Here is a 15,870-nt window from a genome sequence, read left to right on the forward strand (position 1 = left end):
ATCTGAACCTCAGAACAAAAACAGCCTATGAGGGCAGGGGTTGGGGTATCAGGCCATGGAGCAGGTACAGAGATAGCACCCAGAATCAGCCAGTGGCCTCATCGAATAAGAAGAAATAGACGCATGATAAAGAACAAGGCCAGAGGCTCAGAAGGACCGAGAGGCTGGGGGCCCCCTTAGTGTCAGGGCAGAGAGCCGGCAAGCCTCAGGGACCTTGGAATTGTGTGTGCACTGATGTTCGTGGACTTGACCTTGAGTTGTCAAGAGGAAGCTAAAGTACATCCAGTAATGTCGGGCTGAGAATGCAGGGAAGTGCATCAGTTATTGGGAAAGGGCCCATCCAAGCTGTTTTGGCACAGAAAACATGTGGCTTCCTTTCTCCAGGGAAGTCTGCTTCTGTGCAGGAGCCTGTTCTCCTAGGATGGCGGAGCTGGGAGGGCTGGGCTTCTCGTCTGTTTTGTTCACTTTGGGATCCCCAGAGCCTCCAGTGGAGCCTGGCGTGGTCTAAACGCTTAGTAAACATTTGCTGGATGAATGGAGCAGTGGAAGCATGAGGTAAGGCGGTGTTTTCAGTTGTTTTCCACAAATACCGAAGGGCGGCTCCTCTGTGCCCATACAGAGGGAGGCCCTGGTGATCTGAAGTGGAGACAAAGTTCCTGTCTTGAGTTGCTGATGGGTAAATGGGGTGGCTGGGGACCCTTCCTACCCCACCCCGATGGAGTCTCTGTGCTCCGACATGTAGCTACTAAGCACTGAGTGCTTGGCTTTGCAGCCATTGTGTTCTTTAATCTTCCTGACAAGCTCATGCAGTAGATACTAATATTACCATTTTATAGGTAAAGAAACTGAGGCACAGACAGGTTAAGCATCTTGCTCAAGGCCATGCAGCTGGTAGAATGGGGAAGTCAGGATTCAAACAGAGGCCGTCTGGTGCCATAGCTGGCACATTTAACCACTGTGCTGGATTGTTTGCCAGTGAGTGTGCACACGTGCATACGTGTGTGTGTGTGTGCGCGCGCGTGTGTGGCAGTGAGTAAAGACCTCTAATCAGAGATGTCCCTACCCCCACCTGGATCCCTCGGTGGCACCTGCATCTAGCTAGGGGAGGGGCTTAGGGACAATGGAAGAGGCTAGGGGAGGTGTTCCTCATCTTAAAACTGCATTTGCATGGAACGCACACTGTTTTTGCTGAAATCACTGGATTATTTGGGCTTCCCAAATGTCTCACGGCCTCTCCAAGCCACGGGTGCCCCAGTGGTCCTGAAGTATCCACAGCCGGGCTCCGTCCTGGGAGTCTCCTGGAGAAGCACTGTGATCTCTGCAAAGGCTTGCTGGCCAGCACTTTGGTGTGACTTGGCTTGTCTGGTTGGTTGGTGCCCATCAATCCCTGCTGTCACTTTGCGGTAAGGACTGGGGAGGGGAGGCGCTTCGAGAGGCAGCAGGGTGATGGGAGCAGTTCCCAGTCCAGAAGGAGGCAGGCCTGATGGGGACCCTCCACCGTGGTCGGGGCATGTGAACTTACATGTCGTGTGGGGGTGTCTGTGTAAGGATCATAAGTCAGGCCCACAGGGCAGGTGAAGAGCAGAGCCTTTCTCGTGTGGCTGGGCCACCAGTCTGCCCATTGGTCTGCTCTCCACCAGCCTGGGTGCCTCCTCCAGCCTGAGTGGGCTGCCCCCTCCTGCTTGAGTGCCCCCTCCAGCCTGGGTACCTCCTCCAGTCTGGGTACTCCAGCCCGGGTGCCTCCTCCAGCCTGGGTGCCTCCTCCAGCCTGGGTGCCCCCTCCAGCCTGGGTGCCCCCTTGAGCCTGGATGCCTCTTCTGGCTCTGCAGTGCGGCCATGGGCCTTTTGAGCTGCTGGCATCTGGAAGAGCAGTGAAGCCAAGTGCGATGACCGGACAGCATCGCAGGATGGAAGCAGATGGGAAGCCGCAGCAGCTGCCTGCAGCTTCGCCTGGGCCAGCTCGACCCTCACAATGCCCCACGCTGGGGGTGAGCTGGGGTGGGGGGCAAGAAAGACAGATAGACTGATGGATATGGAGAGAAAAACAAAGAAGAGGCCAAGGAAGAGTTGGCAGAGACACACAGGCAGAGCATGGAGAGGGAGACAGCTCGGCAGCCAGAGAGAGTGGCCTGCAGCCTGAGAAGGCGTCAGCATGGCATGGCTGCCTCTGCAGGCCCAGTGGGCTCCTCTAAGCTCTGGCCCTGGCCCTGGGGGTGCTGGGCCTCCCACTGCCAGCCACCTTCCCTTAGGCTCCAGGAGTCAAAGGCCAAGATTTTCTTAGAACCAAGGAGGTGACAGCTGGCTGGATGGCTTGGGGACCTGCCGTTCCTGTTTGCCAGTGAGGAAACTGAGGTCTGTAGGGGTTAAGGGTCTACCTTGCCCTGCTGCATCCTAGCAATGTGGCCTAGGGCAAGTGAGGTCACCACTCAGGCCTCCATTTCCTCATCTGCAACATGTGTGCAGCGGTAGGCACCTCCCAGGAATTGCAAAAGACAACGCATGCAAACAAGTGTGGCACGGTGCCTGGCAAGGAGCCGCCCTCCGTAAATGGTGGCACTGAACACTAATGCACTTGCTTCTGTTCCCAGGCCCTGGGAGGATGGGGTGCTCGTGGTGGAGGTGTGTGGGGTAGGTGAAGGGACCGTGGCAATCACACCGACAACCATTCGTGGCGTAAGGGGATGTAGGAGGAATTGGGATAAAGAGCTTCGGGAGTTCAGAGGAGGCACCTGTTGTCCCCACCTTGCGGTGGGTGTGGGGCTGGTGGGGGTAAGAGGGTGGACATGAGCAGGCCCTCATTGTCCTGGACTAGGGAGGCAGCAAGGACTCCAACTGGCAACCCCCAGCCCCAGCCCTGCACTTGTGGAACCTACATTCTAGTGGGTGGAAGTAACTCAAAGTAAGGGCCTGCAACACTGTGGAGTACATGGTAGGTGCTCAAGAAATGCTAGCCTAGGATACCTGGGACCCAGCACCACCTCTAGCATCTTAGCACAAGAAGGGCTCCCCCAGGTTACCTGCTCTCATCCTCAACATTGCCTGATGCAACGATTGTTTCTTACTGATAGGAAAGTTCTTCTGCACGGCCTTGACTGACTCCGAGGTTTGCAAACATCCACTGGCTTCAGTGAAGGAGGGGTTTGACCACTGGCCCTACCTTGCTCCTGACCTGGGGCCTGTGGGGCAGCTGTCTGCACAGCACGGCTGAGGCCTGTGCCAGTCCCCTCCTCTCTGGTGAGCAGCCTTGAGAAATACAGAAAGGACTGGGCGGAATCCACAGCAGCAGCCAGCAACGGTGGTCCTCAGCTTTCCCCTAGAGTTAGACTGTAAGCTGCCGCAGTGCCTGGGACAGGACTGGCCCCTATTAGGAACTAATGCATCTTTGTTGAATAAATGACTTTTTCTCCCCATTCTTGGTCCCCAGGCCAACTGTCCTGGCTCACTAAAGGCTCTGGCCATAACTGAAACTCTTAGACACTCGGGACCTTGAAGGGCCCTCCAAGCCCGGACACAGCACTATCCTCGATTCATGCCATGTTCCCGCCCCCCGCAAATAGCAGCCAATTCCAACTGCTCATAAATTTCCTGCCTGTCACCCATGGCACCCAGGCCAGGCAGGCAGGAGGTGCTGGAGGCCGACTGGTCCATACTTGCTTCCAGGTCCCTGGGGAGCTTGGAGGCCAGAAGCCCAGGCTTTGCGCCTGTGCCCAGAATAACCTCTGCAAAGTCTGTCCCTTGGAGAAGATGTGAAAGCAGATCTGTCAAACGCAAGGATGTCCAGGCTTGAGTGTTAAAGAAAACACCAGTGCAGCTTATGATGCAGCTTGTACAGCGTAATTCCACTTTTCGTAAAATACTGTATGTGAGTACGCATATGCATGGGAATAGCATATGGGACAATAGTTAACCAAATGTTATCAGTGGTTTGCTCTCCGTGGAGAGATTAAGGTGATTGAAACAATTTTCTTTCTGTTCACTCTTCTGTATTTTCTTTTTCTTTTTTTTGAGGCAGAGCACTTTGGGAGGCTGAGGTGGGCGGATCACTTGAGGTCAGGAGTTCAAGACTAGCCTGGCCAACATGGTGAAACCCCGTCTCTACTAAAAATACAAAAATTAACCGGGTGTGATTACATACGCTTGTAATCCTAGCTACTCGGGAGGCTGAGACTGGAGAATCATTTGAACCCAAGAGGCAAAGTTACCGTGAGCCAAGATCACGCCACTGTACTCCAGCCTGGGTGGCAGAGTAAGACTCTGACTGAAAAATAAATAAATAAAGATGAGGAAACTGACCAGGATGGTGGCTCACATCTGTAATCCTAGCACTTTGGGAGGCTGAGGTTGGAGGATCGCTTGAGCCCTTAAGTTTGAGACCAGCCTGGGCAACAAAGTGAGACTCCGTCTCTACAAAAGATAAAAAAAAACTAGCCAGGTGTGGTGGCATGAGCCTGTGGTCCCAGGTATACAGGAGGCTGATTGGGGAGAATCACCTGAGCTTGGGAGGCTGAGGTGGCAGTGAGCCTTGTTTGCACCACTGCATTTCAACCTGGGCAACAGAGCAAGACTCTGTCTAAAAAAAATAAAAAATAAATAAAAATAAAAATAAAAAAGATGAGGAAACTGAGGCTTGGAGAGGTTAAGTATCCTGCTCAGGGCCCCCCAGCTGACTCTGGGGCCAAGATGAACCCCAGTAAGAATCAAGAGCAGCATTCAGAGGCAAACACGAAGCCCCATTTCTAGCCCACATACTGGTGTACTTAACAGTGAAAGGCAAACTAATACTGTGGTTTTTGAAAAACTCTCCTCCCATGCCATATCTGCTCTTTTTTTCACCTTTTAGTTTTAAAATAACATTTGAAATCTGCCCTTTTTAGGAAAGACCAATTTAAAAAAAAAGTCAGGATTTCAACCCCATTGGAGGTTTATTCCTCCCTGCATGTAGAAGGCTGTATCAAAATTGCTTAAATACAAAAAATGTATAATTTGAAATAGTGGAAAATGGTTAAGTAGGTAAAGTGGGCATCATAGACTGACAATAAATGTAAAAGGTAAAATAACTTAAAGGCAGATAAAATCATTTTTTTAAATGCCCCAAAGTGGTAAAATTACCCTGCAGTGCACAGAAGTGATCAGGATAGGAAAACAATTAGAATTTTTTTTTTTTAAACTGGAAACGAACAAAAGCATAAAGGTTGCTAAATTGTTCCAGGGTTCATAACAATTACCACAACTTCCCTGAAAGTATAGATAGACCCATTTACAAAAATGCTCAATGTTACATTTGAAGTAGGAGAAACATCTTGCAATATATAAAGCCACAGTGAGTAAAATGCCTGTGACCAAAAGTAGCTATGATTGAGTCAACCAGTATTTATTTGTTGTTGTTGTTGTTGTTGTTTTGAGACAGAGTCTCCAGAGTCTCCCTCTGACACCCAGGTTGGAGTGCAGTGGCATAATCTCAGCTCACTGCAACCTTTGCCTCCTGGGTTCAAGAGATCCTCCCACCTCAGCCTCTCAAGTAGCTGGGATTACAAGCATGCGCCACCACACCCAGCTAATTTTTGTATTTTTAGTAGAGATGGGGTTTTGCCATGTTGGCCAGACTGGTCTCGAACTCCTGACCTCAACAGATCCTCCTGCTTTGGCCTCCCAAAGTGCTGGGATTACAGGCGTGACGCCTGGCCCAGCATTTACTGAGATACTGCTGTGTGTTAGATACTGTTTTGGGCATTGGAGCTACAACAGCAAACAAAACAGGCCACGTCCCTGCCCTCGTGGAGCTGGCATTCTGACTATAAACAAGTGAACAGATAAAAAGATGATTTCTGCTTGTGATAAATGCTCCCACTTTGCCACACTGACCAAATCACCTTGCTCTGATTCAGCACGTCAGAGCAGCTGAGAGGGACCTGTGAGGCCTCCTCATCTAGTCATTCTCAAGGTTAATCTTAGCAGCAGAACCTGTTGTTTAAAGGACATCTTCGGATGGGCACGGTGGCTCAGGCCTATAATCCCAGCACTCTGGGAGGCCAAGGAGGGTGGATCATCTGAGGTTGGAAGTTCAAGACCAGCCTGGCCATGGTGAAACCCCGTCTCTACTAAAAATACAAAAAATTAGCCGGGTGTGGTGGCGCACGCCTGTAATCCCAGCTACTCGGGAGGCTGAGGCAGGAGAATCACTTGAACCTGGGAGGCGGAGGTTGCAGTGAGCCGAGATCGTGCCATTGCGCTCCAGCCTGGGCAACAAGAGTGAAACTCCGTCTCAAAAAAAATAAATAAATAAAATAAAGGGCATCTTCTGTGGTGGCGGGGGTTCTGAGGACAGTAAGCTAGGGAGTAAGCCGGACCCAGAGCCTTGGCCGGCAGCAGAAACACAAAAACCCACAAAGGGCCAGTGCTGCGGGGAATGTAAGCCTCTCGCACTGTGCCCCTCACATGGGACACAGGATGTTGCCAGGCTTTCCATGAAAGGGGTTCTGTGGTGTGGTGGTCACAGCGCGGATGCTTGCTATTCTCCATATTTGCAATTATGCACCCCCACATGCACCCCCCGCCCCCCACACACAGCCACTTATGAAGAGGTATCATTGGCATCTTTGTCTTCTATCCCTCGGCCAGAGCTGATTGGTCCAGGGGAATAAATCAGACCTAGGCTAGACCAATGGGCGTCCTCCACTGGGTCTTGGGGATTGGCATGCTGGGAGACCAGGCCAGTCAGTAGTCAGGGAGGAAGGCGGATACCTGCAAGTGGCTGTTATTAGCAGGCGTCTAGAGGGCAGGGCCACAGACTGCCCCTGCTGACCTTTGCAAGCCCTTTGCTACCTATCCTGAGACCTTCCCCCTGGTCTCTGTGAAATGCCCTTTTGTAACTTTAAGTGAGCTTCCCTTTCCTGGAGGGTTGAAGTGAGTTTCTGCTCCTCACAATGCAGTAGCAATTACACGGTCAAATCAGTTGGGAAGGCTGGCTGCAGTGGCTCACACCTGTAAGTTTGGGAGGCTGAGGCGAGGGGATTGCTTGCATCTGGGATTTCAAGACCAGCCTGGGCAACATAGTGAGGCCTTGTCTCTATAAAAAATAAAATAAAAAATTAGCCAGGCATGGTGGTGCATGCCTGTAGTCCCAGCTCCTTGGGAGGCTGAGGCTGGAGGATCGCTTGAGCCTAGAAGGTCAAGGCTATGCTGAGCCATGATTGCAACCACTACACTCAGCCTAAATAACAGAGTGAGACCCTGTTTCAAAAAAAAAAAGTCAGTTGGGAAACTGGGTCATTAAAGCCACACAAATTTGTTTACTGCAGGACTTTTCGGAGCCTTTGACATGCTAATACATACAGTGACTTTCCAAGTGGGACCAAGGTATGTGGTATTTCCCAAACTCATGGAATGCCTCACCTAGCTGGTGTTCACAGAACACCTTTTGGGCAATGCTAATCTGCCTCCCCTCCCCTCACTGTACAAGTGACGGAATGAAGGCACAGAGCGGGAGAGTGAGTTACCCAAGGTCACACAGCTGCTGAATTGCAGAGAAAGTCCTGGCACCTGAGGCCTCCTAGTGTTCTTCCCATTACATCCCAGTTGTCATAAGACTTCCTTGGATGGATGATGTATGTGCTGAGATTCTTGGACCGAGGTGGTGGTGGTCCAGTGTAGACGCCAGGAAAAGGGTGAGGTCGAGAATTGAAGGTCAGGCCTTGGTGAGAGAAACCCCTGTCTCCTTTAATCCTGGATGGTAGCTGTGGCTTCAGCGGGGACTAAGAGCCAACAGACGGCTTGGGGCTGGCCCCAGGCTGCCCTGACCGCCTTTACAGCATGCCCAGGAGGACGGCTCCAGCCAACCCAGCCTCCCCTTCTTCCTCAGGCCACGGGCAGGCTGAACAAGAGAAAAACCTTTTCTGCCCATGGCAGGGCCCGCCCAGGCAGCCAGCGCCGGGATGACGCGAGCTGTAAATCACCCCGTGGACCACAGACCCAGTGCCATCCCCACGGGTTTCCTTTCCGCTTCTTAATCCTCCTCCTCAGACTCGGTAACACAAAGCAGATTCCTGCTGGGGCCAGCCATGCACAGTGGGCTTGGAGAATGTGAGCCTGGGATTTACCACATCAAGATGCTCCCGCCTCTCACTTTTCCTTTTCTCCCTCCTGAGCCACTATTAGCTGGAGAGCACTCCCTCCCTCTGGCCCGGCTCCCTCGCCCTCCTTGGACCCCACTTCAGCCTTGCCCCAGACTTGCGTCTTGGCTGGCTGCCCCGGCCCACGGGGCTCACCAGGGCCTGTGGTTAGCAGGCCCTCCACGTCGTGGTTTGGCTCCATCCTGGCTCCCCAAGCCTCTGTCTCAGTGAGAGCAGCCTCTGTGTGGTAGAATGAACACTGCCGATCTGGATTCAAATCCTGGCACTGGCAACTTCTAGCACTTCCTTCTCGGAGCCTGGGATTGCTCACTCATGAGAGGGGGGAATGGGAATGCTCCCTGGCAGGTCGGAGGTGCCTGACAGATGTTTTGCTTTAAAAATAACTACTTATTAATAGCTGTTGGTTGAGGGTTGGAGCACGAATCAAAAGGGTGTTTGGAGTTGCTTTAAGAGGGTTATGTTGTACCAGGTTCAGGGACTTTGTTATTTTTCATCCTGGGTGGATCTGGAGGTCTCACAGAGCCTCCCCACCGGCTCTGACCTCCCCAGAGAGCTAAAACCCCACAGGCCCCATGACCTTGCCCCCTGTCCCATCCCTTCCTGGTAGCCAGTTACACCGTCTGCTCAGAGCGCCAAGTTCAGCTGCCAGAATGAGGATTGCACAGATCAGGGCTGCAGGGAACTTAAAGGTGGTCTAACCCAGCAATTTTCGAACTGTGCTCCTTAGCACCCTGATTCTCAGACATGTCCCAGGCTCTCTGTTGGAAGGAATGCAATAGGTCTCTGGGTCCCCCTTCCTCTGTGTCCCCTGACTCCACTGCAATCAAATAGACAGACACATGTTTTCTGTGTTAGTGTTCCATGTACTTCATTCTCCTGCTTAAAAGGAGCTTTCATCGATCTGCTCCAGCCACGCCATTTTACAGATGAGGACACTGAGGCCTAGAGAAGTCAAATGACTTGTTTTAGGTCACCCAGCTGGCAGGTGAATGTGCTACAACTAGAGTGGGCCTTGTGACTCCTAGGGCAGCGCAAGGAAGCTGCAGATGGCCATTCCAGTGGGACTGAGCCTGCAGAGGAGCCTGCCACCCCAGGGTGGGGACGGGCCTCTGAGATCCCTCAGAGGGGTGGCCCTGGGGATTGTGGTGTCAGCCCCAGGTGTCCCCGAGCTTCCAGCGGCCCTGGCTCCCACTACCCACTGTGGTCCTCTTCTTTCCCCAAACCAACCAAAACGCAGGGCCTCTGAAATGCAGCACTAAGGAACAGGGGGACAGTGTGGGCTCTGGAGGCAGCCAGGCCGGGGTTTGAATCCTGGCTCTTCCACTTATCGAACCCTTCAAGGTGGGGGCCCCTCTGCCTGGAGGACTCAGTGAAGGGACATTCTGCAGCTGTCCAGAAACAGGAACCAGGTGGAGCAGGGGCAGCTTTTAATGGCTGGTCATGTCTTTCAGGAGTGACTGGCTGCAGGCAAGACCAAGGCCACCACTGTGGGCCCTCCTTCCAGTCAGGCCTGAGGACAAGGTGAGCTCGCTGAGTCCAGCCTCGTGGTCTTCTCCAAGATGCCGCCAGATGCCCAGCCTACAGCCTCTCAGGGTCGGATCGGAGCACGCCTGCCTCCCTCTCCCCTCCGCCCTCACCCAGCCAATCCGAGGCTGCTTCGCACTTTGCCCTCTGCCTGGTGGGGAGGGGAGAGCTCAGCCCCCGACTCACTCAGACCCCAAGGCCCACTGTCCAGCTGCAGAAATTCGTTGCCAAAGATTGGACAGAGACACCGAAGGAAATGGGGTGGTGAAACCCCACAGCGAAAAGCCACACCGTTGCTCTGTGACTTTTGCTCCTCCTGTTGCCTGAGCCCCATCTCAAGCCAAAGATGAGTCAGTGGTTCTGCTAGGAACTCATGGAATGGATGGGCATTTGATGACCCCTGGGGGTCATCTTGGCCCTCTGACCTGGTGCTCTCTCTCCACTGGGCCTTGTGCTGGCTGAGTGCAAGACAAGCCTTAGGGGCTGTGAGAGGGAGGCTGGGGTGCCTGGGCGGGGCTGGGAGTGGGACCTGAGATCCCTGCCCACTCTCTCCCCTTCATTGGCTGCCCAGGCCACTGGCCCCAGTTCTCAGTGTCCCTTGGGTCCAGGCTCCTTGGGCCCTAAGCATCACCAGAAGGGAGTAAGCAGGGAGAGAAGCAATATTACTCCCTCCCCTACACCAGGGACTTGCCCCAGGGCAGCTACCTATGGGTCTTTGCTTCCCCAGCCAGCCTCTCCTCACTGTGACCCACCCCCATGGGCCCCCGTCCCAGGCAGCCAGCACCATGGGCAGGCCCTGCCATGGACAGAAAAAGAGTTTTTCTCTTGTTCAGCCTGCACGTGGCCTGAGGAAGGAGTAGAGGCTGGGTTGGCTGGAGCCGTCCTACTGGGCAAGATGGCGCCCCACTTGGAGGGCGGTGGTCTGTTACAGGGTGTGCAGGGGCAGAGAAGGAAGGGACCAGGGGACTGGGCCAGTATGTGGAGGATGGGGCCTGCGTGTTCAAAGCCAAGGCCCGCCCCTTCCTTGTGCTCAAATGGCCAAAGCTGTTCACGTCTGTGCTCAACCATCTGCTTCAAATTGAAGTAAAAGCCCCAAAATGTCAAGAAAATACTTGTGTTGAGTGGACTCTGTGGGTGACCAGGACTTTGGCCGGTCATCAGCTGGGGAGTGTGAGGGAGGGGGTTGGTTTCTACCTACAGGTTGAGAGCCCTTCAGGATCAGGCGCTGTCCGAGTGAGAGTGTGTGTGTCTGTGTGTGGAAGGGGGTGGAGGGCGGTTCCCACAGTAGTCTCAGCCTGGACTAGTGACCAGGAGGCCTGGTCAGGAACACATGAGGAGCCCTCTCTGTCCGCACTGCACTCAATCTGTACCATGGATTTATGAGATAGGGGCCCCTATTATTAACCCCGTTTCACAGATGGGGTAACTGAGGCCTCAAGTAGACAGGGTCAGTCGGTGACAGAGCCAGTCATCGAATCAGGATGGGCTCACTTCAAATCCTGTGCTCTCAAACCTTTTCCAGCCCCATCACCAGTCCCAGCCCAAAGTCTCTTGTGTGGCCTTGTCACATTGCTTCACCTCAGCGGGCCTAAGGTAGGGACAATAAAGGCCCATTGGGACTGGGGGAAGGGGTGATAAGATAAAAAATAGGAGAGCACTGTCAAGGCAGAAGGGACAGGGCTGGCCAAGGAAAGGGGGATAGGAGGGGACCGGAGGCTGCAGCCATACAGGACACAGTTTGTCCCTTGGTTTCACCAGTGTCACTTTCTCGTCTCTGCTGCTCAGACTCCTGGGCTGGGCTGGGGCTGGCTGCAGGGAGCCCCCCTTGCAGTAGCGTTTCTCAGGCTGGCCCTTTACCAAGGACCACAGTGTCCATGCTGTCTTGGATCCCTAGGCTGGCACAGAAACAGGGGACCCAGGTGGCCCTGAGCACTCCTCAGAGCAAAGGTGCTCTGGAAGCAGACTGGACAGAGTGGGCATGGAATGGGGCCAGGAGGGTCTGTTAGGAAGGTTCAGCCACCCTGTGAAGCTGGCACAGATAACAGCACTGCTCTGTTGTCCCTCGGAGCCTCTGAGTAACCCTGATGGCACTTCCTAAGGCAGCAGGACATGTGGACTGACCAGCATCAAACTGTTGACATAGAAGACCATTTCTATTACCAAAGGGAGTGTACCCCATTCTGCTGCCAAGGGAGCAAACCCATGGCCTTACCACCCAGAAAGAGCCCATCCTCCACCTCCCATCCCCCTCCTGCATACATACTTCATTACATGTTTCCCTTTCATTCTGAAGCATCATTGATGACCAGCTGCCTGTCAGACACTAAGATAGGCAGTGGGAATGAAGAGATGGATCTTGTGTCATGCATGGCATCACGGAGCTCTGGGTTCTGTACGGAGGGTGGGACAGACAGGTAGACAAGCAAATAATTATGATTATAGCAGATGACTAAGGTGTTGTCGGGAGCTTCAGGAAAGGAAGAACTAACTCTTGGGGAGGTTCTCAGGAAGGATTTCCCTGGAAAGTAGCCATGGGACTTGCGTCTTAAATGGTGAGTAAAAGCTTTCTGAGCAGGGGAGTAGGAAAAGGGCTTTCTATGCAGAGGAGCACTCAGCGCTGGCAGGAAATTGGAATCACCCAAGGAGATTATTAAATATTAAATATTGATATGAAGTATTGATGCCCAATTTCATCTCCAGAAATTCTGATGTATTGGTCTAGGGTGTTGCCTGGTCATTGGGATTTTTACAAGCTCCTCAAGTGATCTTAATGTGCAGGCAAGGTTGAAGCCGCTGGTCTAAGTGGGGTCTGGTCTACGATAAGAAAGTGACTTTGAGCCATCGATTTGGGAGACAGGCTCTGGGTGGATGTGTGTGTGTGCACACATATGTATGTATGTGGATGACTAAAAGTGCATGCTCTCCTCTCCTTTCCCAGCTTCCTCTCCAGCACAGCAACTTGTGTTCGTATGCACACACATGCATACTCTCTCTCATGGGCACATGCATACCCACACACACACTCGTGTACATTTCCAGAAAATGGAATTACATTTCAGATAGATTCAGATTCCAACGGCAGTCTTCTAAACACTTTTATGCAAGCAGCCATTCAAGGAGACCCTCAGCAAAATATAAATGACGAGGAGCTGCCCTCATGGGGCCCTGTGAAAGCACTTTGCAGTCCAGCCTTGGGTTTGTGGTCACAGAGTCACCTGTGGATGTTTGTAGCACACTCTCCTTGTCTTGTCTGCTCTGGGTCACCAGGCACAGGCCATAAAGGGATGAGGGGGCCCTCTCCAGGGACCCGCAAGATCTTCCTGGGTATGTCTGCATGAAGCCCCACGTGTGCACACCCATCTTCATGTGTGTGTGTGCCAGCCTCCTGCTCTCTGCAGAACAAAACCAGAAGGAATGGCTCTGGGAGTTGGAGATCTCAGCTCACAGGCCAAGCTTTGCAAGACTCTCCAAAGACTGCCCACAGACTGTGCTGCTTCCTGGGTCTGGCCTGAGACTATCCCAGAAGAGAGGGTTAAATTCTGGAGGTGAGGTTTTGAGCAAGTGTTCATCCCCCCACACTATGCTCCTTCCTGTCTCCATGGCCACATCCTTCAAGGCTCTGTGCTGTTCTCTTTTTTTCTGGATTTCTCCACCTCCACCAAGTTCCCCTTTCTCACAGCTAGTGGAGGCATGAGTAGGCAGGTCCCAGGGGCTGGGAACTGGGTAGCATTGCCATGTGCAGGGACTGTGTTGGGAGCTGCAGGTACAGAGCTCCTCTGTGCTCAAGAGCTTGCCGGTGAGCCTGGACGGAGGCATAGGTGCAGCTAATTAGGATAAGACAGGGGCCGCGCTGTGGTCAGCCGTGGGAAGCCGGCGAGGGGACTGGAGTTGGGGCTACACTTGCCTCCCTCCTATGCTGCTTCCTGAGCCACGAAGTGGTCATTGCCAGCATCCCAGGCAACAAACAGCAAGACTCAGACATCTCCAAGGAAACCCTTTGAGTGGATCTGTACCGTTGTTCTCGTCTTGCTCTCTTGCTGCCCTGCCACCTTCACAGCTGCTTTCTGTTTCCTGGTTCCAGGAAGACAGCGGGGCACAGGGTCCCTGCTTTGTGAGGAGCAGCTGGCTTCTCCCTTTGCCCCCAGGTTTTGCCCTCCCACATGTCTCCCTTCTGGTGACCCGGACCCCAGACAAACTATGCCTGCCTCCCTGAAGCCAGGCATCCTGAGGAACTTGATAGACAAACAATGACAGTGTTTTCCAGAACTGTGGGTACGTGTCTAATCTCAGATGGTACTATGAATTCCTGGAGATCAAAGTTTGGATCTAATTCAACCCCTGATCCTCGAAACGGCTTTCTTGCAAAGTGTATATATTGGTTTCTTTGCTGAATGAATGAATAAAACATGGAAAATGTGGTAATTCACTCATTTTTGTTTTCTTCCTTCCACAAATAACTCCCAAGCATCTAATTTGTTCAAGACCTGGGGAAAACAGGACCCAGGCCAGGTGATCTTTTATATGGCTTCGGAGAGGCTTGAAGGGAGAGGGGCTTAGAGCCGAGAGAAGCCTGGCCTTGGACCTTTTTGCTCTTTATGTGGCCGAGTCTTTGAGAACTGAGCGAAGAGGACAGCATCACAGCACACGTGCTGGCACACAGGCACTGAATGAACAGTTACTGAATGTGTAGATGAGTGAATGAATGCCGCCAAGCCTCCTTACAGCCCTGCCTCGGACATCACTAATCAACAGTGGCTCTTTTTCTCCAGGGGCTCCTACACTGCCTGAATTCCGCTCCAGACAATGCTCCAAGCAGTTACTACTAATGGATCGGAGAGATGAGCTCCCTCTGCCGCCCTGGTCCCGTGGCCTCCCTGGAGTGGGCCAGCCTCCTCGGGCCACCCCAGCATGGCGTGTTTGAGGTGATGTCAGGAGCTTCAACTTCACTGTTGCTCACGGGCCATGTGGCTGCCTCCTGACTGGCCTCTCTGTCAATGGTCTGTGACTTCCAACCCTGCCTCTGCCATGGCTGATAGGGGTTTATTTCCAAACTTCCTCCCTGGGCCCATTGCCTCCAGACTACAGCCCAGGCTCCTTAGCTGACCATCATGATGGTCTTGTGTGCCCTCCAGGTCCACAACATCTCCCTGTCGCCACTGTCTGGGCATGCCCACAGCTTGGCCGTCTGGGGGTGGTGGCCAAATCCCATCCTGAGATATCATTAACAGCCCCTCTTTCTCAGCCGTGGCCCTGTGTCCTTCTCTCTGGCTGCCCATGAAACAAGATTCTTTCTGATCTTAATGTTTGCTGCAAAGGAAGCAGTTTCTTTTTGTCCTAACATTACCCGGCGTTGTATCCCGCCTAGCGCCTGGGTCCCCGGGGAACTCTAGTTCTTTCAATCCCAGAACCTGGGGCGGACAGAGAGGCCCTACTTAACCTGGCAGCAACAACCTAGATGGCCGCCCTTCTGCCCTCGGGGCTCATCTTGCCTTTTCACATATAAATAAAAACATCTCCACTCCCACGCCATGTTCAGTGGGAAGCCAGCCCGGCATTGCCCGTGTCTCTGAGGATTCTCGAGGGACTTACATCCTTGGCTTTGATCTTTGGGGCCCACTGAATTCATCTCTTGCTCAGGGGCTCCCTATGGCTTCCTCCTTCTCTCTACTTTGTGGCCCTCAAGGGAACACACACACCTTTCCTCAGTTTCCCCAAAACATCCCTCACCCAAGGCAGTGGTGTGGAGAGGAATTATTTTTTCCATTCCTGATGAATCTTTTTAAATGCTTACATGCATGAAAAAACAAACAGGACCTTGCCTTTTACTTCCTAACTTATGCAGCTGATTTCATGTATTTTTGACAGGTTCATCATGTTTCTGGCAGTTGTAACTTTTTTCCCTTCTGGCTTCACTCCCTGGTGCTACATTTCTGGGCTGTGACTCACCCAAGGTTGTCTCACAGCTGGCACTTAAATCTAGTATTTTTTCTTCATTCTAACATCTTCCCCTGCCCCCCTTCATGCCCATCACCACCAATATGGTGGCTAATGGATAGACTATGAGCAAATACAGCAGCTGGTGAGGGCGCTCACCCACCCTCGGCCGCGCAAGTATCCAGGATCTCACCTCCAGGAGGAAAGATGCACCTCCCTGGACGAGCCAGCCTCTCCCCGGGCTCTCTTGTCACCAAGGCTTGTCCAAAGGCAGCAGATGGGC

General features: G+C 52.9%; 1 protein-coding gene and 1 non-coding gene across 7 annotated transcripts in view; one reads left to right on the top strand and one right to left on the bottom strand.

Annotated features, from left to right (window-relative positions):
* ATOH8 (atonal bHLH transcription factor 8) overlaps nucleotides 1–14,079 on the top strand; it is a 37,393-nt gene extending 23,314 nt beyond the window's left edge. The window contains exons 3-5 of one of the 6 annotated variants that reach the window (XR_939732.2): nucleotides 3,661–3,862; nucleotides 7,299–7,356; nucleotides 9,581–14,079. Coding sequence is in view for 3 of the 6 variants with exons in the window: in XM_011533139.2 (XP_011531441.1) it covers nucleotides 7,299–7,325 (27 nt within the window). In the remaining 3 variants the exon portion in view is untranslated. Of the gene's footprint in view, nucleotides 1–3,068; nucleotides 3,411–3,660; nucleotides 3,863–7,298; nucleotides 7,357–9,580 lie in introns of those variants that run through there. The other 5 variants (XR_939731.2, XR_939733.3, XM_011533139.2 and 2 more) reach the window with 5 other exon arrangements.
* On the bottom strand, nucleotides 6,296–6,373 carry MIR6071 (microRNA 6071). The gene has a single exon (NR_106719.1). It is a non-coding gene; the product is annotated as a microRNA 6071 (primary transcript).
* Nucleotides 14,080–15,870: the final 1,791 nt, after the last annotated feature.

This window comes from Homo sapiens, chromosome 2 (assembly GCF_000001405.40).
Source record: "Homo sapiens chromosome 2, GRCh38.p14 Primary Assembly".
NCBI classification, from domain to species: Eukaryota; Metazoa; Chordata; class Mammalia; order Primates; family Hominidae; genus Homo; species Homo sapiens.